Here is a 22,354-nt window from a genome sequence, read left to right on the forward strand (position 1 = left end):
AAATATTTCAATGGATGGAAGACTGAGAGTTTTACTTGGTTGGATGCTGGGTACTTTTGGCTTCCTATAAGTATTTTTGTGCTTTGTTCTAGGATGCACTTAAGTCACTTGGAAACAATGTGACACTTTCAGGTCTTGCTTTTATGATTTCTTAGGCAAATCTGGAGCAGTGCTCAGTTTGGGGCACATTACTCCTCACCACGGAGAAAAGACCTTTCTGAACACTCTACCCAATACTCTGAATTATGAGTTTTTCCACGCTGGCTGGCAGGATCAGTCCTTCTCCAGGCCCTATGTGAGTACTGTGTACTGTTCCCTCTGATTCTTTTCAAAAGTTATTTCACTCATTTCCTCATATACATGAGCTGATTAGTACTTTGCTGAACATTCATGGAGGCCCCTTTACAGATCTCCAGGCCTCTCTCTGTGTGCATCTATCTCCTGCAAGCCACCAGTGCTCCTCAACCCCCACAGCTTCAAATTCTAGGAAAGAACTGCCAAAAGGCCTTGAGCCAGCTTCCTCCACCACCCCAATTAAAATATCCAGCCCAGTCATGGCAGTCTGAGAATAGTGGAGTACAATGCCTACCTAGGTCATTGAGAAGAGATTCCAAAAGAAACCAAGAAGACCAGAGACTACTGCCCCAATCCAGATCCCTGATCATAAAGCACAGTATCACCCACCCAGAGAAAAGCAAAACACTGCTGTAGCCTCCAGATCCCGAATAATGGAGCAGGACTCTCACCTAGGGCCAGCTGTAAGGACAGAGAGTTCCAAAACTCTCCTCCAGAAAACTCACTTTGTTCAGAACAGAGTTTGGGTGAGTGCAAGCCTAAGATCACCCTCAAAAAGAATGGAAATTCAATGATAACCAATTAAGAAGAGGGTAGCAGTTCTATGACAGCAACAAGCTAAACCACAGACCAACTGAAAGTTTACTGGAGAGAGCAAGGGAAAGAGATGCCTAAGAAGAGACATCCAGGGCAATTAGATGTCTTCCTATCTACCAGAAACACTCATACAAATACATACACAGATTTTCCACAGTCATGATTTTTAAATTTATGTTTTCTAGGAGGTGACTTTCAGAATGGCAACATAAAAAGCAAACTCAAAGCCTCAAAGACAGCCCTCTAGAAGGAACCCAAATTTAACAAGAGCAAACTAAGAGCAACATATGGTCCAGGACAGTGTTGAAAACAATAGAGCAATATGTCAGCAATCAGTAGCGGCTATCAGCAAAGTGTAACAGCAACAGAGGCAGACAGGCTAACACAGCAATCACAGAAAGATTCACTCAAAGAGAGCACTGTTAACACCACTGCCATGCTAAAGATAGTGTGCATTTCTAAGGCAGGGCCCTCTGACAAGCATCATCAGTGAGAACCCAATGGGAGTGAAAAAGCTTCTCTCAAATAGTAGTCAAGTTGCCTAAATAAATAAGAAACAACAACAAGCCCTAGAGAGAATAGAGGAATCAGTATCTAGAGAAAGTACAAAGTATTCTCTACAATGTCTATTCTTCAACAAAAAAATTACAACACATACAAAGAAACAGGAGACTGTCATCTATATACAGGAAAAATGGCAGGCAACAGCAACTGCCCTTGAGAAGATCCAGATATCAGACTTAGCTGACCTCAAAGCACTTATTTTAAATATGTTCAGGCCAGGTGCAGTGGCTCACGCCTGTAATCCCAATACTTTGGGAGGTTGAGGCAGGTGGATCACCTGAGGTCAGGAGTTCAAGACCAACCTGGCCAACATGGTAAAACCCTGTCTCTACTAAAAATACAAAAATTAGCTGGGTGTGGTGGCCAGCACTTGTAATCCCAGCTACTCTGGAGGCTGAGGCAAGAGAATGGCTTGAACCTGGGAGGCAGAGGTTGCAGTGAGCTGACATCATGCCTCTGAACTCCAGCCTGGGTGACACAGCAAGACTGTATCAAAATTAAAAATAAAAATAAAAATAAATATGTTCATAAGGAAACACTATTTAGAAAAGGGAGGTATGATGATGTCTCATCAAACAGAAAAATATTAGTAAGAAGACAGAAAAGAATACAATGAAAATTCTGGATTCAAAAATTATAACTGCAATGGAAAACTCACTAGAATGACTCAACAAAAGACTTGGCCAGGTGGGGTGGCTCACGCCTGTAATCCCAGCACTCTGGGAGGCCAAGGCAAGCAAATCACCTGACGTCTAGGAGTTCGAGACCAGCCTGACCAACATGGTGAAACCCCGGGGTCTCTACTAAAAATACAAAAAAGTTAGCTGAGTGTGGTAGTGCACATACCTATAATCCCAGCTACTCTGGAGGCTGAGGCAGGAGAATCGCTTGACCCCATGAGGCAGAGGTTGCAGCGAGATGAGATAGTGCCACTGCACTCCAGCTTGGGCAACAAGAGTGAAATTTCATCTCAAAAAAAAAAAAAGAAAGAAAAGAGAGGTTGTAGCTGGCAAAATAATCAGTAAACTTGAAGATGGATCAATAGAGATTAAGTAATCTGAAGAACAGAGAGAAATAAGAGTGAGGAAAAATGAAGAAACCCTCAAAAAATGAGGAATACCATTAACTACACCAATATATTCATAATAGAAGTACCAGAAGGAGGGGAAAAATATCAAGTAGCAGAAAAAATATTCAAACGAATGGCTATGCTCACCTTGCAACACATACACTAAAACTGGAACAATACCAAGAAGATTAGCACAGTAGCTACACAAGAAAGACAGAGAAGTTCATGAAGTGCTGCATTAAATTTAAAAAAAAAAAAAAAAAAAGAGGCCAAAAACTTGCAAATCTGTTGACGAAGAGAAAATCCTGAAAGCATCAAGAGAAATACAACTCCTCACATGAAGGGAATGTCCTAAGATTAACATATGACTTCTCTTCAGAGACAGTAGAGGCCAGAAGGAGGCAGGATGACATATTCAGTGTACTGAAAAAAAATTTTTGTTAATAACTTGTCACCTAAAATAGCAGAACTATTTGCAAAACAGAGGGTGAAAATTTAAAATCCTCAAATTAAAAAACAAATAGAAACCAAAAAAACTTGAGAATCCATTGCTAGTAGACTAACAATAAAAGAAAGAAAAGAAGTTCTTTAGGGTGAAAACAAGTGACTCCAAACACTAGATCAAATCCACAATTATTGTGGGTAAAGGCAATGATACGAGAGAGTAAAAAAGGCACACTTTTTCTCCTTTCTTTTCCTACCCAATTTAATAAGCAAATATGTATAAGTCAATGTTTATAATTGTATTGTTGGACCTATAACATATAGAAATGCAATATATTTAACAATAAGGCAGGCTAGGCATGGTGGCTCACGCCAGTAATCCCAACACTTTGGGAGGCTGAAGCAGGAGAATCACTTAAACCCAGGAGTTCAAGATCAGCTTAGGCAACATACTGAGACCCTATCTCTAAAAAAAAATGTGTTTAATTACCCGGGCATAGTGGCACACACCTATAGTCTCAGCTACTCAGGAGGCTGAGGTGGGAGTATTGTTTGAGTCCAGGAGGTTGAGGCTGCAATGAGCTGCGATTCTACCACTGCACTCCAGCCTCAAGGACTCAGAGAGACCCTGTTTCAAAAAAAAGAAATACATTGATAAACAAGGAAACAAATAATAAAGCAAAAAAAAAAAAAGAATAAAGCAAAAAAAATAAGCAGAGCAGCTGGGTGTGGTGGCTCATGCCTGTAATCCCAGCACTTCGGGAGGCCAAGGCGGGCAGATCATCTGTGGTCAGGGGTTCGTGACCAGCCTAGCTAACATGATGAAACCCCATCTCTACTAAAAACACAAAAATTAGCTGGGTGTGGTGGCGCATGCCTGTAATCCTAGCAACTCGGGAGGCTGAGACAGAAGAATCACTTGAACCCAGGAGACAGGGGTTACAGTGAGCCCAGATCGTGCCACTGCACTCCAGCCTGGGCAACAAAGCGAGACTCCATCTCAGGGGGAAAAAAAATAGGTACAGATCTGTACTGGAGTAAGGAAATTACACTAGATGTTAAGTCTGAATCCACACAAACAAATGAATTAAAGCAGAAATGAAGAATAAGGTTAGTATACCAAACTCTACAAATAGATACTTCCTATCTTTCTTTCAGCTTCTTTAAAAGACATCAACACATGAACACAGGGAGGGGAACAACACACACTGGGGCCTATTGAGGGGTTGGGGGCAAGGGGAAGAAACTTAAGAGGATGGGTCAACCACCATGGCACACATATACCTATGTAACAAACCTCCATGTTCTGCACATGTATCACAGAACTTAAAGTAAAAAAAAAAAAAAAAGACATCAAATGACATAAAGTTACAATTACAGGTTGAGTATCTCTTATCTGAAATGCTTGGCATCAAAAGTGTTTCTGACTTTAGAGTTTTTTCCAAATTTTGGAATATTTACATTATACTTACTGGTTGAGCTTCCCAAATCCAGAAATCTAAAATCTGAAATGCTCCAACAAGCATTTCCTTTGAGCATGTTGAGCATGTTGGCACTCAGTTTCAGATTTTGGAGCATTTGAGATTTTCAGATTTGGGATGCTCAGCCTGTATAACAATGTATTGTTGGGTTTTAAATATATATGCAATATATATAAAAATAACAAATGGAGAAGAGGAAATAGAGCTATATATAGGTAATGTTTCTGTATTTTACTAGAGTTAAGGTAGTAGAAATCTGAAGTAGATTTTGATAAGGTAAGATTTATTAGGTAAGTTCTAGAGCAACCACTAGGTAAATAAATTTTCAAAGAGACATAGTAATTTTAAAAATTAAAACGTTATACTAAAATATATTCATTTCACGTTGTGTACACATAAACAAACATAGAGAGTGGAATGAGAGACACTGGAGACTTGGAGGGGTGGGGAGGTGGGTGAAGGATAAGAAATTACCTGATGGGTGCAATGTATACTATTATGCTGATGGCCACACTAAAAGCCCAGACTTCATCTCTATGTGATATGTCTGGGTAACAAAACTGCACTTGTACCCTCAAAACCTATAAAAATAATAAAATATATTCATGTCATGTAAAAGAAAGCAGAAATAAAAGGAATAGAGTATCAAAAAAGCACGAGACCGAAAACAAAAATGGCAGAGGTAAATCCAACTACAGATGCTCCTTGACTTATGATCAAGTTACATCCTGATAATAGTCAAATTAGTTGAAAATATTGTTTTTCCACTTAAAATGGGAACACATTCTAGTAAAGTCAGAAAAAATAGTTAAGTTGAACCTTTGTAAATCCTGAAAATACAAAGGGGTTTCAAACCCAATAAACCCATTGAAAAGTTAAAAAATCATAAGTCAAACCATTGTAAGTCAGGAACCATCTGTATAGCAATAACGACAGGAAAAAGGGAATGATTTGAAAATCCAATCAAAAAGCAACAATTCTCAGGTTGTTGAAAGTGTGAAAGTCCAAACATGTGCTATCTATAAGAGATAGATACAAACAGGTTGAAAATTTGAAAACAGAAAAAGATATATCAGGCACATGGCACCAATAAGGCTGGAGTAGCTATCCTAATATCACACAAAATACACTTTAACACAAAAATTTTACTAAGGATAAAGAGGGGAATTTTATTAATATAACAATAAAAGGGTCAATCGATAAAGGAGACATAACAATTCTAAGCATATATACTACTAACAGAGCCTCAAAGTACGCGTAGCAAAAACTGACAGAATTAAAAGAAAAAATACACAAGTCTATGATACTAATTGCAAACTGTAATAACCCATTTTCAATAATGGTTAGGACAACTGGGCACAATATAAACATGGAAACAGAAGATATAGATGACACTCTAAAGCAACCAGATCTAAGAGATATAGACAGAACATTCCACTTGAAAACAGTGGAACAGGTATTCTTTAAAAGTACACATGAAACATTCCCCAGAATAAATTTAAAACGATTCTCTGACCACAGTGGAAATTACAAATCAGTAAGACAAAGGAATTTTGAGAATGCACAAACATGCACAAATTATATAATACATTCCAAAGTTAAAAAAAAAGTCAAAGAAGCAATAAGAAGGCAAATTAGAAAAAATGCTATGAGGTAAAAATGAAGACATACTCAAACTTATGGAACACAGATAAAGCAATGCTTAGAGAGAGATTTGTAGCTGTAATAACCATATTAAAAAAGATCTCAAATCAATAAACTAATTTTCCACCTTAAAACACTGGACAGGAGCAGCAATACAAACTCAAAGCAAGAAGAAGGCAGGAAGGAAAGCAGAAAGATTATAGAGTAAAAATTAGTGAACTAGAGAACAGAAAAATAGCAGATTCCTGGAAAAGATCAACAAAATATACAAACCTCTAATTAGACTGACAATGGAAAAAAAAAAAAAGAAGATTCAAATTACTAAATGTAGGGATTAACGATGTATTACTAGTACTCTTACAGAAATAAAAATAATTACAAAGAATGGTATGAACAATGTATGTCAACAAATTATTTAACTTCAACAAAATGGAAAAATCCATAAAACAAAAACGACTAAAACCAACTCAAGAAGAAAAAGAAAAATCTGAAATGACCTACACAAGTAAAAAGATTGAAGTTGTAAATTTAAAACTCGCCATTACAGGTGGGATGCAGTGGCTCATGCCTGTAATCCTACAACTTTGGGAGGCCAAGGCAGGCAGATCACTTGAACTCAGGAGTTTGAGACCAGCCCAGGCAACATGGTGAAACCCCCTCTCTATAAAAAAATTACAAAAAATTAGCTGCATGTGGTGGCATATGCCTGTAGTCCCAGCTACTTGGGAGGCTGAGGTGGGAAAATTGCCTGAGCCTGGGAAGTCAGGCTGCAGTGAGCCATGACTGCACCACTGCACTCCAGCCTGGGCAATATAGTGAGGCTCTGTCTCAAAAAAGACAAAAAACAAACAAGAAAACTTCCCATTACAAAAACAAAAACAAAACCCAGGTCCATATGGTTCACTGGAGAATTTTATCAAACATTTAAAAAGAAGTATCAATTACTCAAAAACTCCAAGAAAATAAGAAGAAACACTTGCCAGCTCATTCTATGATCCCATTACTACCCTGGTACCAAAATCAGACATGAAAAAACTACAAATGCATGTGTCATGATTACAGACCTATAAATCCTCAACAAAATACTAGCAAATTTCATCTAGTAGTATATAAAAAGGATTACATACAATGATCAAAGGGGATTTATACTAGTAAGGCAAGTTTGGTTTATCATTTGAAAATCAACTAATACATCACATAAGCAGAAAAGAAACAATAACCACATGATCATCTCAGTATACAGAGAAAAAGCATTTAACACAATCCAATGCCCATCTTCTCTATAAAAACAATCAACAAACCAGGAATACAGTTAAACTTCCTGAGCCTGATTAAAGGCATCTACAAAAAGTCCACCACTAACATCATACTAAATAATGAAAGGTACAATGATTTTACTCTAAGAACAAAAACAAGATAAGAATGCCTTCTTGCCAGTTACACATCACACAGCAGATTGTAGTCAACACAAGCAAGGGGAAGGGGAATTCAGATTGAAAAAAAAAAGTGGAACTATATGTATTTGCAGTTGACTGCTCATGCATATAGAGAATCTTAAAGAATCTACTAAAACACTATTAAAACTAATAAAAGAGTTCAACAATGTTGTAGGGTGCAAGTTCACTAACAACAAACAAATCATAAATGAAATTTTAAAAAGAATTCCGGCCAGGCATAATGGCTCAAGCCTGTAATCCCAGCACTTTGGAATGCCGAGGTGGCTGGATCACCTGATGTCAGGAGGTTGAGACCAGCCCGGCCAACATGGTGAAACCCTGTCTCTACTAAAAATACAAAAAAGTTAGCCAGGCATGATGGCATGTGCCTGTAGTCCTAGCTACTTGGGAGGCTGAGACAGCAGAATCGCTTGAATCCCAGAAGCAGAGGTTGCAGTGAGCCAAGATCGCGCCATTGCACTCCACCCTGGGCAATAAGAGCAAAACTCTGTTTCAATAAATAAATAAATAAGTAAATTCCATTTACAATAGCATCAAAAAGAATAAAATACTTGTAACTTTAATCAAGGAAATACAGAGCTTGTAGTCTGAAAACCACAAAACAATGATGGAAGTAATTAAAGACAGCCTAAATAAATGGAAAGGCACTGAATTGCATTCATATGGTTAAGATGGCAATAACTGCCAAATTAATATCTAAATTCAACACAATCCTTACCAAAATCCCATCTGCCTTTTTGAGGAAACTAACAAGCTGGTCTAAAATTTCATGTGGAAATTTAGGGAGCTGAATATAATCAAAACAATCTTTAAAAAGAAGTAGAAAGTTAGAAGACATACACTTCTCAATTTGAAAATTTGCTACAAAATTACAATAATCAAGATGGCATGATAGTGGCATAGAGGTAAACATGTGAAATAAAATTGAGAATTCATAAATAAACACTACAATATATTATGTTCAGTTAATTTTCAACAATGATGCCAAGAAAACTTAATGCTGAAAAATCCCCTTTTTGGCTGGTCGTGGTAGCTCACGCCTGTAATCCTAGCAATTTGGGAGGCTGAGGCAGGCAGATCACAAGGTCAGGAGTTCGAGCCTGGCCAATATGGTGAAATCCCATCTCTACTAAAAATACAAAAAAAATTAGCCAAGTGTGGTGGCACATGCCTGTAATCCTAGCTACTTGGGAGGCTGAGGCAGGAGAAATGCTTGAACCTGGGGGGCAGAAGTTGCAGTGAGCCAAGATCATGCCACTGCACTCCAGCCTGGGTGACGGAGTGAGACTCCGTCTCAAAAAAAAAAGAGAAAAAAGAAAAATCACCTTTTCAAGAAATGATGCTGAGACAACTGAATATTTGTATGAAAAACAACCAAAATTATTCCTTTCCTCACACCATATACAAAAACTAACTGAAAATGGATCACAGGTCTACATTTAAAAGCCATTACTTAAAGAAAATATAGGAGTGGATCTTCATGCCCTAGGGATAGACAAAGCCCTTTTAGATAAAGTACCAAAAATACAAGCAACAAAAGAAAAAACAAATTAGACTTCATGGAATGAAAAACTCTTTTGCTACCAAGTACAAAGTAAAGACAACAAAATGCCAACCCACAAATGGGAGAAAAATACTGGCTAATAATATATGTAATTAGCAACTTGTACACAGAATATGTAAAACACTCTTACAACTCAACAATAAAAGGACACATAACACAACTACATAATGAAAAAAGGAATTGATTTTTCTCTATTAAGCTTCTATCCTCCAACTTGGCTATAAAGACTTAACAGTTTTGGGAGTTCTTTAGAATTTTCTCCTTAGGCAATCATGCCTGTACAAACACAGAAAGTTTTATTTCTTCCTTTCCCATCTGTATGCCTCTTATTTTGTTGTCTTATGGCATTACCTACAATTTCCAATGAGATGTTGAGTAAGAGTGAAGAGACAGGACATCTTGTTTCCTTATCTTAGGGAGAAAGTATCCAGTGTCTCACCACTAAGTATGATCTTAGCAGTAGGTTTCCTGCAGATTTTTTTTTTTTATCAAGTTGAGGAAGTTCTTCTCTATTCCTAGTTTGCTGAGTTTTATCATGAATGGGTGTTGAATGCTTCTTGTCCATCAATTGACATGATACAGTTTTCTTCTGTAGCCTGTTGACGTGGCAGGTTACAGAAGTTGATTTTTTTTTTTTTTTTTTTTGAGACAGAGTCTTGCTCTGTCACCAAGTCTGAAGTGCAGTGATGCAATCTCAGCTCACTGCAACCTCTGCGTTCCAGGTTCTAAGCGATTCTCCTGCCTCAGCCTTCAGAGGAGCTGGGAATACAGGCGTGCTTCACCACGCCCAGCTTATTTGGTATTTTTAATAGAGACAGGGTTTTACCACGTTGGCCAGGCTGGTCTCGAACTCCTCACATCAGGTGATCCATTCACCTCAGCATCCCAAAGTGCTGGGATTACAGGCGTAATCCACTGCACCCAGCCAGATTAATTGATTTTCAAACTCTGACCAGCCTTGAGTGGTCATGGCATCTAATTATTTTTATAAGATGTTGTATTCTACTTGGATTTTTGCATCTACATTCATAAGGGATATTAGTGTGCGGTTTTTCTTCTTCACAAGGTCTTCATATGCTTTTAGGATTAGAGAAAAAATAGCCTTTTAAAAAAGTGTTAGGAAGGTTCCCTTTGCATCTCTTTTCTGAAAGACACTGTAGAGAACTGGTATATTTCTTCCTTAAATATTGCACAGAAATCACCAATGAAACCAAAAGAGTCTGATAATTTATTTTCTTTCTTTCTTTTCTGAAAGCTTTATGGATTCAATTTATTTAACTGATATTGGTCCATTTGAATGGTTTATTTCTTCTGTGTAAGTCTTGGCAGTTTGTGTATTTCAAGGAATTACCCATTTCACCTAAGTCATGGGTTAAGAAGAAGCCAGGAATAAAGGCATCCTGTACCAAAACCATCTAATTGCATTACAAATGCAAAAAATAGTATCAATGAAGGACCCCCTTCAATGCAGGAGGAAGTCTTGACCTTAATTGCTTTGGAAAGAGATAGAAGTCTGTGAGACTAAAGGCAGGTCTGCACATAAGTACTATATTTTAGTTGATAAAATTATAAAATTATTTTCCACATGGGTATGATTAACAATTCTGGCAGTGCTATACATGTATACAGGGAAAGAATAATGAAGGTAAATGGAAGGCCAGGCATGGTGGCTCTCACCTTTAATCCCAGCACTTTGGGAGGCCGAGGTGGGTGGACTACCTAAAAGATCAGGAGTTCGTGACCAGCCTGTACAACATGGCAAAATCCCATCTCTACTAAAAACACAAAAATTGGCTGGGCATGGTGGTAAGCACCTGTAGCCCCAGCTACTTGGGAAGCTGAAGCAGGAGAAATACCTGAACCCAGGAGGCAGAAGTTGCCATGAGCCAAGATCACACCACTGCACTCCAACCTGGGTGACAGAGCGAGACTCTCTCTCAAAAAAAAAAAAAAGGAAAGAAACTAAATAGATGATGGATAGTTAGAGCCAGATTTCTTACTGTTGGGTATGGCAATTTACACTGAAGCAAGGGAAGAAAGCTAAAATGATCCATGTGGTAATAAAGAGTTGAAGGTTTAAGTATAAACACATGTTTAGCTTAAGAGAGATACAGATGGTTACATGTAGAACTATATAAGTAAGTATATTACATGGTTTATGCACATGTGTGTTTCCCTGTTCTGTCAGCTGAGACAGCCACACCCTACTGCTGTAAGCACACCATTAGCCCCTATCTTGGTTTCTAATACCATTCTCAAATAAAAGGAAACAGGGTTACCTGAAGAAATGGTGACTGATTTCAGAAAGGAAATATATAAGATAAGCCTGGACCATCTTGCAGTGACAGAAAGAAAGTGCTCTAAAAAACAACAGCAACAAAATTCATAAATCTCCACTTCTTACGTGTGAGTTGTGCAGAGTAACATTGTTCCGATGTGTACAATATGGAAAATAGGAAGAAGATGTAACTTTATAGTGGACAAACTGTATGTTTGCCAAGACATTTAAGGCCAACATCAAAAGTCATAAAACATGGTGACAGTATGCATGCTTGATATAATGTGACAAAAAAGGTACTTTACTACTGTGGCCTTTTTCCCCAAAATCTATAATTCCAGTCTTATCTTGAGAAAAACATTAGATACATTCCAATAAGTGGAATTTATATATACCTCACCAGGATTCCTCCAAACTGTCAAGGTCATCCAAAACAAGGAAAGTCTGGGAAACCACCATAGCCAAGAGGAGCCTAAAGAGACATAACAACTAAATGTAATATGGTGCCCTGGAAGGGATCCTGGAACAAAGAAGGACATTAGGTAAAAATCAGCAGACACTAAATAAAAATATGGACTTTAGTCAATAATCATGTACCAATGTTGGTTCAACAGCTGTTGCAAACATACCACCCTAATATGTTAATAACAGCAGAAACTGGGTTAATGGCAATTCTCTCTACTACCTCCCCAATTTTTCTGTAAGTCATGAAATAAAGTGAATGTTTTAAATAGACAAAGGAGATACATAAATAGCCAACAGGTGCATAAAAAGATGTTCAACATCAGTCCGGGAGCAGTGGCTCACACCTGTAATCCCAGCACTTTAGGAGGCCAAGGCGGGTGGATCATGAGGTCAGGAGTTCAAGACCAGCCTGGCCAACATGGTGAAACCCCATCTCCACAAAAAATACAAAAATTAGCCAGGCGTGGTGGTGGGCACCTGTAATCCCAGCTACTCAGGAGGCTGAGGCAGAGAATTGCTTGAACCCAGGAGACAGAGGCTGCAGTGAGCTGAGATCGTGCCACTGTACCCCAGCCTGGGCAACAGAGCGAGATTCCATCTCAAAAAGAAAAAAAAAAAGACATTCAACATCATTAGCCATTAGGAAATGCAAAAAACCACAATGAGATACCTCTTTACAACTACTGGATTGGTATAATAAATAATAACAATAATATTAATAAAAAGTGTTGGCAAACTGGAGAAACTGGAAAATTCATGCATTGCTGGCAGGACTGTAAAGTACTGTGGCTACTATGAGAAACAATCAGGCAGTTCCCAAGAAAGTTAAACACAGAGACACCATATAACCAGCATTCTACTTCTAAGTATATATCTGAAATGACTGAAAATACATGTCCATGTGAAAACTTATACATGAACAATTACAGCAGAATTATTCATAATAGTCAAGAAGTAGAACTAAAACCAAATGTCCATCCACTGACAAATGGATACATAAAATGTAGTATACCTATATACCATGTTATATGGTAATAAAAAACAAGTGAAATATTGATACATGCTACAACATGGATGAACCTTGAATATGTTATGCTAAGAAAAAGCAGCCAGGCAGAAAAGGTCACATGCAGTCCCATTTTTATGAAACATCCAGATTAGGCAAATCCACACAGACAGAAAATTCAATTTTGGTTGCCAAGGGCTACAGGAAAGGGGAAAGAGAAAGTAATTGCTAATGGATATTGGCTTTGTTTCAGGGATGATGACAATGTTCTAAGAAACATTGTCGGCTGGGTGCAGTGCCTCACGCCTATAATCCTGGCACTTTGAGAGGCCTATGCAGGCAGATCACTTGAGGTCAGGAGTTCCAGACCAGCCTGGCCAACACAGTGAAACCCTGTCTCTACTAAAAATACAAAAAATTATCTGGGCATAGTGGTGCATGCCTGCAATCCCAGCTACTCGGGAGGCTGTGGCAGGAGAATCGCTTGAACCCAGGAGGTGGAAGCTGCAGTGAGCCGAGATCACGCCACTGCACTCCAGCCTGAGAGACAAGAGTAAGATTCTGCCTCAAAAAAACAATTGTCGGCTGGGTGCGGTGGCTTACGCCTGTAATCTCAGCACTTTGGGAGGCTGAGGTGCGTGGATAATCTGAGGTCAGGAGTTTTGAGACCAGCCTGGCCAACATGGTGAAAATATAAAATCAGCTGGGTGTGGGGGCATGCAACTGTAATCCCAGCTACTCAGGAGGCTGTGTAATCCCAGCTACTCAGGAGACTAAGGCAGGAGAATTGGCTTGAATCCGGGAGGCAGAGGTTGCAGTGAGCTGAGACCATGCCACTGCACTCCAGCCTGGGTGACAGAGTGAAACTCCATATTAAAAAAAAATAAAAAAATTTGTCAGGAAGGTTGCACAATCCTGCAAATACACTAACAGTGATTGATTTATACACATAAAATTGGTGAAGAGTACAGTATGTGAATTATATCTCATATAATTCTCCAGAAAATTGTTTCTTATATACCTGTTTTGTGGTGTATAAATAACACAACTGATATGCATTGTTCTTACAGCCAACCACCTCACTAATTTTTTTAGTAATTTAAATCACTTCTATGTAACATTTACTTTTGCTTGTACAGATAATCAAATCGTCTGCACACAAAATGAAAATTTGACTTCCCAACCTTTATGTTTTATTATTTTTTTCTTGTCTGTGTAATGGACAGTAGATCCTCTATGTGATTCTGTAAAACTGGTGATACAAGAGATCCAGCATCTCTCATATAGAAAGTGTGCTATGATTTTTCAACAAATAGTGTACAATATGTTTTTGTCCATTACATTTATTTTATTTTTTGAGATGGAGTCTCGCTCTGTCGCCAGGCTGGAGTGTCGTGGCACCATTTCGGCTCACTGCAACCTCCGCCTCCCGGATTCAAGCAATTCTCCTGCCTCAGCCTCCTGAGTAGCTGGGACTACAGGTGCGCACCATCATGCCCGGCTAATTTTTTGTATTTTAGTAGAGACGGGGTTTCACCATGTTGGCCAGGATGGTCTCCATCTCCTGACCTCGTGATCTGCACACCTCAGCCTCCCAAAGTGCTGGGATTACAGGCATGAACCAACGCACCCAGCCTGTCTATTATCTTTATTAAAGATTAAGAAGCTGAATTATTTATAGTTGGTAAGCAATTTACAAAACTTTTTATTTGAAGAAAATTGTTCATTTTTTCTCTTTTTTTTTTTTTTTTTTTTTTTTTTTTTGAGGCAAGGTCTCACTCTGTCACCCAGGCTGGAGTCAAATGGTGCCATCACAGCTTACTGCAGCCTTGACCTCCTGGGCTTAAGCGATCCTCCCACCTCAGCTTCCCAAGTAGCTGGGACCACAGGCACGCACCACCACACCTGGCTAATGTCTTTACTTTTTGTAGAGATGGGGTTTCACCATGTTGCCCAGGTTGGTCTCAAACTCCTGAGCTCAAGTGATCCACCCACCTTGGCCTCCCAAAGTGTTGAAATTACAGGCATTTGCCACCGCACCCAGCCTGGAGGCAATTCTTGAATTGACATGCAGCTGGAAGAAATAATGAGAAGATTCTGTATACCCCTCACCCAGTTTTCTCCATGGTAACAATTTGCAGAACTACAGTCCAATATCAACCAAAAACTGACATTGATTCATTCAATCAATCTTATTCAGATTTCACAAGTTTCACATGCATTAGTTGTGTATATTTAGTTCTATAAATTTTGCCACAGGTATAGATTTTTGTGAAAATCACAACACTGGGGATACAGAACAGTCCCATCACCAGGATCCCACACATGGTAACTACAGCCATCTCCCACCCTCTCTGCCTTCCTAACGCTGGCAACCACGAATCTGTTCTCCATCTCTATGCTGTCATTTCAAAACTGTTACACAAATAACAGATCATGAGGTATTATGATAAACAGCCTAACTGCATTTGTGATAATTGGCTAATAGATTTCAAATCCCACCCATCTCCCCTCTTACCCTACATTTGGGCAAGCCAATAATAAAGCCTAGGTGGTCCCTCCCTCAATGCCAGTAGGAAACTGAAACCACACAAACTCCATCCTTTTTGTGTGTGCTCACCCTACCCCAAATTCCTAATGACAAGCAGCCATTCTTCTCCCTTCTTTCTCAATCCACATTTAGACCTGCTTAGGAGCCTTCTCTGGTCTCCCTAGAAACCTGTGTGTATAAGTAATAAACTCTTTTTTACACTCTTGATATCATTACCAGTTTTGATACCTAAACCAAGCGTAGGGGGCAGGAGGGTTCATCCCAACTCTATGGGGTGGACCAGAACAAACATGTAAATTTTTGAGATTGGGTTTTTTAAAACTCAGCTTAATCTCTTGAGATTCATCCATAATGTTACATGTATTAGTCATTCATTCCATTTTAATACTGGGTAACACTTCATGGTATGGACACACTACACATTATTTATCCATTCAAGAACATCTGGATTATTCGGGTTTGGGCTATGACCCATAAAACTGCTATAAAATTTTTTTGATGGAACATTAAGTTTTTATTTCTCAAGGATAAATGTCTAACAGTGTAACTAGTGGTTCACATGCTAAGTTTGTTTTTAGTTTTAAATGGAACTGACAAACTATTTTCTAGAATGACTGTAGCATTTTACTTACCATCAAAAATGTATGAATAATTCAGTTTCTCTAAATCTTCACCAGCACTTGTATTATCACTTTTATAAGGCAGGTCAAATAAGAGCATGATAAAAACATCTTTCATTATGACGTGTCTGGGTATAAGTCTCTTTGCATTTATCCTCCTATGAGTTTGCTGAGCTTCTTGGATGAATATATTAGTTTTCTTCAACAAATTATGGGCGTTTCTGCGAATTCTTCAAAAAATTTTTCTTTCCCTTTCTATTCTCTCATATTGATACTCCCGTTTGTGTATGCTGGTGCACCTAATGATATCCGTTTCCCAAGGTTTTGTTCATTTTTCATTATTTTACTGGCTCTTCCTCAAATTACACAATATACATTGATCTGCACCAGACAACCCAGTTTCTGCCAACTAAAATGGCAGTTATTATTGTGTTGCCTATTGATAGTCCTGTGCATGGGTCACATTTTTCCTGTTTCTTTGCATATCTCATTTTGTTGTTGTTCTCGAATGGACAACTGGTCCATTCACTTAACAGTGTTGAGTGACATAATCAAATGGTGGAGTACACAGCTCCCAACTGTCCCCACACAGAAACACCAAAAAAAAAAAAAGAACTATAAAAACCAACCTTGTTAGAACTCTGGAAAATAATTAAAGGTTTACAGTAACCAAGTGAATGCTAAATCAGGAAAAAGGCGACTTCAAATGGTGGGAAAGTTTTGTGGCATTTTTACTTTACAAGAGACCCTCATTAATATCAGGAGCTCATATCTCCGCAGAAATCAATTGAAGGCCTGAAGACAGATGGATGACATATATAAATTCCTGAAAGAAAAACACTATCATCTGAGAATTCTCTAGCTGGTAAAACTGTCCTTCAAAATGAAAGAGAAATGAAGATAATCCCAGATAAACAAATGCTGAGTTTGTTACTACTAGGCCTGCTATACAGGGAACACTAAAAGGTGTCTTTCAAGATGAAATAAAAAGAAACTAGACTCAAATCTGGAGGAAAAAATAAAGACTTCCAATAAAGTTAACTATATAGACAAATATAAAAGCCAGGGTCATTATGTTTGCTTTGTAACTCCATTTTTTTACTTCCTGCAGGACTTAAAAGACAAATGGATAAGAACTAAATATAAATTTACATTATGGGCACACAATGTATAAAGACATAATCTGTGACAACATAAAGGGGATGAGTAAGGTGCTAGGTAGAAGCAAGGTTTTCATATGATATTGAAGTTATGAGGGAATCAATTTAAACTAGATTGTCATGAATTTAGAAAGTGAAAGTAATCCTCATGTTTAATTACAAAGACAATATCTTAAAAATGTACACAGAAGGAAATGAGAAGGGAATAATATATAATATAAAATAATAAAAATATAAAAATCAGGCCAGGTGTGGTCGGCTCATGCCTGTAATCTCAAGCACTTTGGGAGGCCGAAATGGGTGGATCACTTGAAGCCAGGAGTTCAAGACGAGCCTGGCCAACATGGCAAAACACCATCTCTACTAAAGACACAAAAATTAGCTGGGTGTGGTGGCACGTGCCTGTAGTCCCAGCTACTTGGGAGGCTGCGGCATGAGAATTGCTTGAACCCAGGAGGAGGAGGTTGCAGTGAACCAAGATCATACCACTACACTCTGGCCTGGGCAACAGAGCAAGACTTTGGTCTTGAAAAAAAAAAAAAAAAATGAAACACAAAGAAGGCAGTAATAAAGGGAATATGGGACCAAAGAAGGTATACAATATACAGAAAACAAAATGCAATATGGCAGAAGTGTTTCCTTGTTGGTGATTACTTTAAATGATAATTGCTTGAACTCACCAATCAGAAGACAGAGGCTGGCAGAATGGATTTGATTGATTTATTTATTTTTTAGACAGGGTCTTGCTCTGTCACCCAGGCTGGAGTGCAGTGACACAAACAGGACTCAATGCACCCTTGACTTCCTGGGCTCAAGGGATCCTCCTGCCTCAGCCTCCCAAGTAGCTGGAACCACAGCGCACACCACCACACCCAACTATTTTTTTTTTTTTAATTTTTTTTGTAGAAACGGAGTCTCACTTTGTAGACCAGGCTGGTCTCCAAGGCCTGGGCTCAAGAGATCCTCCCAAAGTGCTGGGATTACAGGTGTCAACCACCCAGCTTCAGAATAGATTTTTTTAAAATATGATCAAACTACACATTGTCTAAAACAAACTGACTTAAAATCCAAAGACACAAATAAATTAAAACTGAAAGGCTGATAAAAGATATTCCATGAAAATAGCCACCAAAAGAGAACTGGGGTGGCTATACTAATTTCACTCAAAATAGATTAAGTCATAAGCTGTTACAAGAGACAAAGAAGGATACTATATATGAATAAAGGGTCGTTCCATCAATAAGATATAAAAATTATAACTATATATGTACCAAGCAGCATCCTGAAACATGTAAAGCAAACACAGAATGCAAGGGAGAAACTGACAGTTCTTACAGTTAATAGTTTTAGACTGAGGCTGGGCATGGTAGATAGCACCTGTAATCCCAGAGGTTTGGGAAGCCAAGGTGGATCACTTGATGCCAGGAGTCCAAGACCAGCATGAGCAACATAGTGAGACCCTGTTTCCACCAAAAAAAAAAAAAAAAAAGATAGCTGGGCATAGTGGGCATGGTGGTATACAGCTATAGCCCCCTCAGGAGGATGAGTGGGGAGGATCACTTGAGCCTGGGAGTTCGAGGCTACAGTGAGCCATAATTGTGCCACTGCACTCCAGTCTGGGCAACAGAGTGAGACTCTTTTAAAAAAAAAATACAAATGCAAATGAATAAATGAATGAATGAATGATGCGTATGAATACAGATACAAAGCTACACAAACACATACACACACACACAAATACCAGTAAAATATATTTAATGGTATATTAAGAGGAGTATACACCATGACCAAGTGACCAAGGGGGACTTATCCTGGAAATGCCTGTGTGGTTCAACATAAGAAAATCAATGTTTTTAAAAAAAAAAAGAAAAGAAAATGAATGTAATACACTTCATTAATAAAACAAGTAAAAAAAGGACACGATCATCTCAGTTGATGCAGTAAAGGCAGTTGACAAAATCCAACCCCTTTCAGGACAAATACATTCAGAAAACACAAAACAGAATAGAACTTCTTCAACATGATAAAGGGCACATATAGAAAATTCACAGCTTTACATCATATTCACTGATGAAAGAAAGCTTTCCTCTTAACATCAGGAAGAAGACAAAAATACCCACTTTTGCCAGTGCTATTTAACACTGCAGTAGAAGTTCCAGCCAAACAAGAAAAAGAAAGAGAGGCATCCATTGCAAAGGAAGACATAAAACTATGCCTACTCACAGGTGACATAATCCTAAAGATAGATCATAAAGAAACTACAAGAAAGATACTATAGCTAATGAATGAATTCTGCAAAGTTGCAGGATACATCAACACACAAAAATCCGTTGTGTTGCTACACACCTGCAAAGAACAATCTGAAAAGAAAATTAAGAAAACAATTCTACCTATAGCACCATCTAAAAGAATAAAATACTATCTAGAAATAAAGTTAACCAAGAAGGTGCAAGACTTGTATACTAAAAACTACAAAATACTGATGAAAAATATTAAAGAAGGCATAAATAAAGGAAACAGTATCTCATGTTCACAGTTTGAGAGATGTCATATTTTTAAAAGGCTAATACCATCCAAAATGATCTACAGATTTAACACAATCCCTATCAAAATTCCATCAGCATTTTTACCAAAATAAAAAGCTGATCCTTAAAGTCACGTGGAATTATAAGGGCCCTGAATAGCGAAAACAATTTTTAAAAAGAAGAACAAAGTCAGAGGACTCAAAACGTCCAATTTCACAACTTATTAGAAAGCTACAATAATCCAAACAGTGGGTCATGTCATAGGTGTAGACATACAGACAAACGGAATACAAGTGAGAGCCCAAAAATACACTGCCTATGGTCAACTGATTTTTGACAAGGGCGTCAATTCTATTCACTGGGAGAAAGAAAAGCCTTTTCTTTCAGTTAATGCAGGCCAAATATTGTCACGCTACTGACATGAGATACAACAGTCATACTCACAGACAAAATAGATTAGAGGTTACCACAGGCTGGTGGGAATGGGAATGAGTAGTTACTGCTTAATGGTGATAGAGTTTCTGTTTGAAATGATGACAAATGACCAAAAAAATGATGCTGGGTTAACTGGATTTCCACATGAAAATAAAGTTAGAAAATAAAGTTAGATCCCTACTTTGACTATACACAAAAATGAACTGAAAATAAGAGCTAAAACAATAAAATGTTTAGAAGAAATGTTCAGAAGAAAACATAAGGAAAACTTTGGGTTTGGTGATGGATTCTTAACTATGACATAAAATGGATAAGCAACAAAAGAAAGAGTAGGTACGGCCGGGTGCGGTGGCTCACGCCTGTAATCCCAGCACTTTGGGAGGTCAAGGTGGGTGATCACCTGAGGTCAGGAGTTCAAGACAAGCCTGGCCAACATGGTGAAACCCCGTCTCTACTAAAGCCACAAAAATTAGCTGGGCACTGTGGCATGCGCCTGTAGTCCCAGCTACTCGGGAAGCTGAGGCAGGAGAATCACTTGAACACAGGAGGCAGAGGCTGTGGTGAGCCGAGATCGTGCCACTGCACTCTGGCCTGGGTGACGGTGAGACTCTGTCTCAAAAACAAATATCTGTGTATATATACACATTAAAAATAATTCAGTGGTACCCCAAAAAGCTAAAAGAAATACACTTTGATAAAACAATTCTACTCCTAGGTTTATATCCAAAAGAAATGAAAACAGGAACTTTGAGCAGATAATGATATACCAGTGTTCACTGAAGCATTATTCACAACAGCCAAAAGGTGTACGACCCAAGTGTACATCAACAGATGAATGGATTAAACAGCCAGAAAAGAAAGTCTTGATACTTGTTACAATACAGATGAAAGCTGAAAGCATCATGCTAAGTGAAATAAGGCAGACACAAAAGGCCAAATGTTGTCACACTACTGACATGAAATATTCACAACATTCAAAACTCACAGAGACAAACTAGATAAGAGGTTACCATAGGCTGTTGGGAGGGGGGAATGAGTAGTTACTGCTTAATGGCAATACAGTTTCTGTTTGAAATAATGCAAATGTTTTAGAAATTGTGGTTATGGCTATACAACATTGTGAGTGTAATGCCACTAGACTGTACACTTAAAAACTGTTAAAATGGCAAATTTCATGTTATATATATTTTACTACACACAAAACAATATATTGTCAAAATGCTCCAGCATCATTTGCTGAATACCTGACTGAATTTCTTTTGCATTTTTGTCAACAGTTTGTCAAATGTCTTAGCTTCAGCTGCCATAACAAAATACCAGACAGTATGGCTTAAACAACAGAAGTTTATTTCCTCACGGTTCCAAATGCTGGAAGTCTGAGATCAGGATGCCAGCATGGCCAGGGCCTGGTGAGGGCCTCTTCCCAGCTTGCAGTTGGCCACTGCATGTTCACATCGCCTTTCCTCTACGCACATGGAGAGTGAGGAAGCTCTCACTTCCTCTTCCTGTAAGGCACTAACCTCATCGTGAGGGCCCCACCCTCATGACCTAATCTAACCCTAATTACCTCCCAAGGGCTCCACATCTCCAAACACCACCACACTAGGGTTGAGGGCTCCAACATATGAATTTTGGGGAGACATGAACATACAGTCTATAACAGCATAATCAATGTTGAAGTTTTCTATTCTTTTCCATTGTTCTATGTGTATGTTCTATCAATGTGTATATTCAACCAACATCCTGTCCTCTTGATTATTATAGCTATTAATATATACATACAGTAGTCACTCCTTATCCAAGGGCGATACATTCCAAGACGCCCAGTGGAAGCCTGAAGCCTCAGATAGTATTGAGCCCTATAAATACTGTTTTTTCCTAAATATACAAACCTAAGATAAAGTTTAATTTATAACTTAGGGACAGGGAGAGATTAACAACATCATAAAATAGAAAAGTTATAACAATATGCTGGCATCGCTACTCTTGCACTTTAGGGCCATTATTAAGTAAAATAAGGGTTACTTGGACACATATAGTGACAGTAAATAATCAAGACAATTACTAAGTAATTAACTCATGGGTAGCATATACAGCCTGGGTATGCTGGACACAGGGTTGATTCATGTCCTGGAACAGGACAGTGCAAAATTTCATCATGCTACTCACAACAGTGTGCAATTTAAAACTTAGGCATTAC

General features: G+C 38.4%; 1 protein-coding gene and 1 pseudogene across 14 annotated transcripts in view; one reads left to right on the top strand and one right to left on the bottom strand.

The window, feature by feature from the left end:
- The window catches only part of ZNF33B (zinc finger protein 33B), a 64,402-nt gene that overhangs the window by 28,326 nt on the left and 13,722 nt on the right, over positions 1–22,354 (bottom strand). For 5 of the 14 annotated variants that reach the window (NR_130949.2, NM_001305038.2, NM_001305037.2 and 2 more), the window contains one exon: positions 11,788–11,864. The exons of 8 other annotated variants lie outside the window; for them this stretch is intronic. The gene's annotated coding sequence lies outside the window, so the exon portion shown is untranslated. Of the gene's footprint in view, positions 1–11,393; positions 11,475–11,787; positions 11,865–22,354 lie in introns of all 14 variants that reach the window. One more of the 14 variants, NM_001305040.2, reaches the window with a different exon arrangement.
- Positions 2,664–2,769, top strand: RNU6-1170P (RNA, U6 small nuclear 1170, pseudogene; annotated as a pseudogene).

This window comes from Homo sapiens, chromosome 10 (assembly GCF_000001405.40).
Source record: "Homo sapiens chromosome 10, GRCh38.p14 Primary Assembly".
Taxonomy (NCBI): Eukaryota; Metazoa; Chordata; class Mammalia; order Primates; family Hominidae; genus Homo; species Homo sapiens.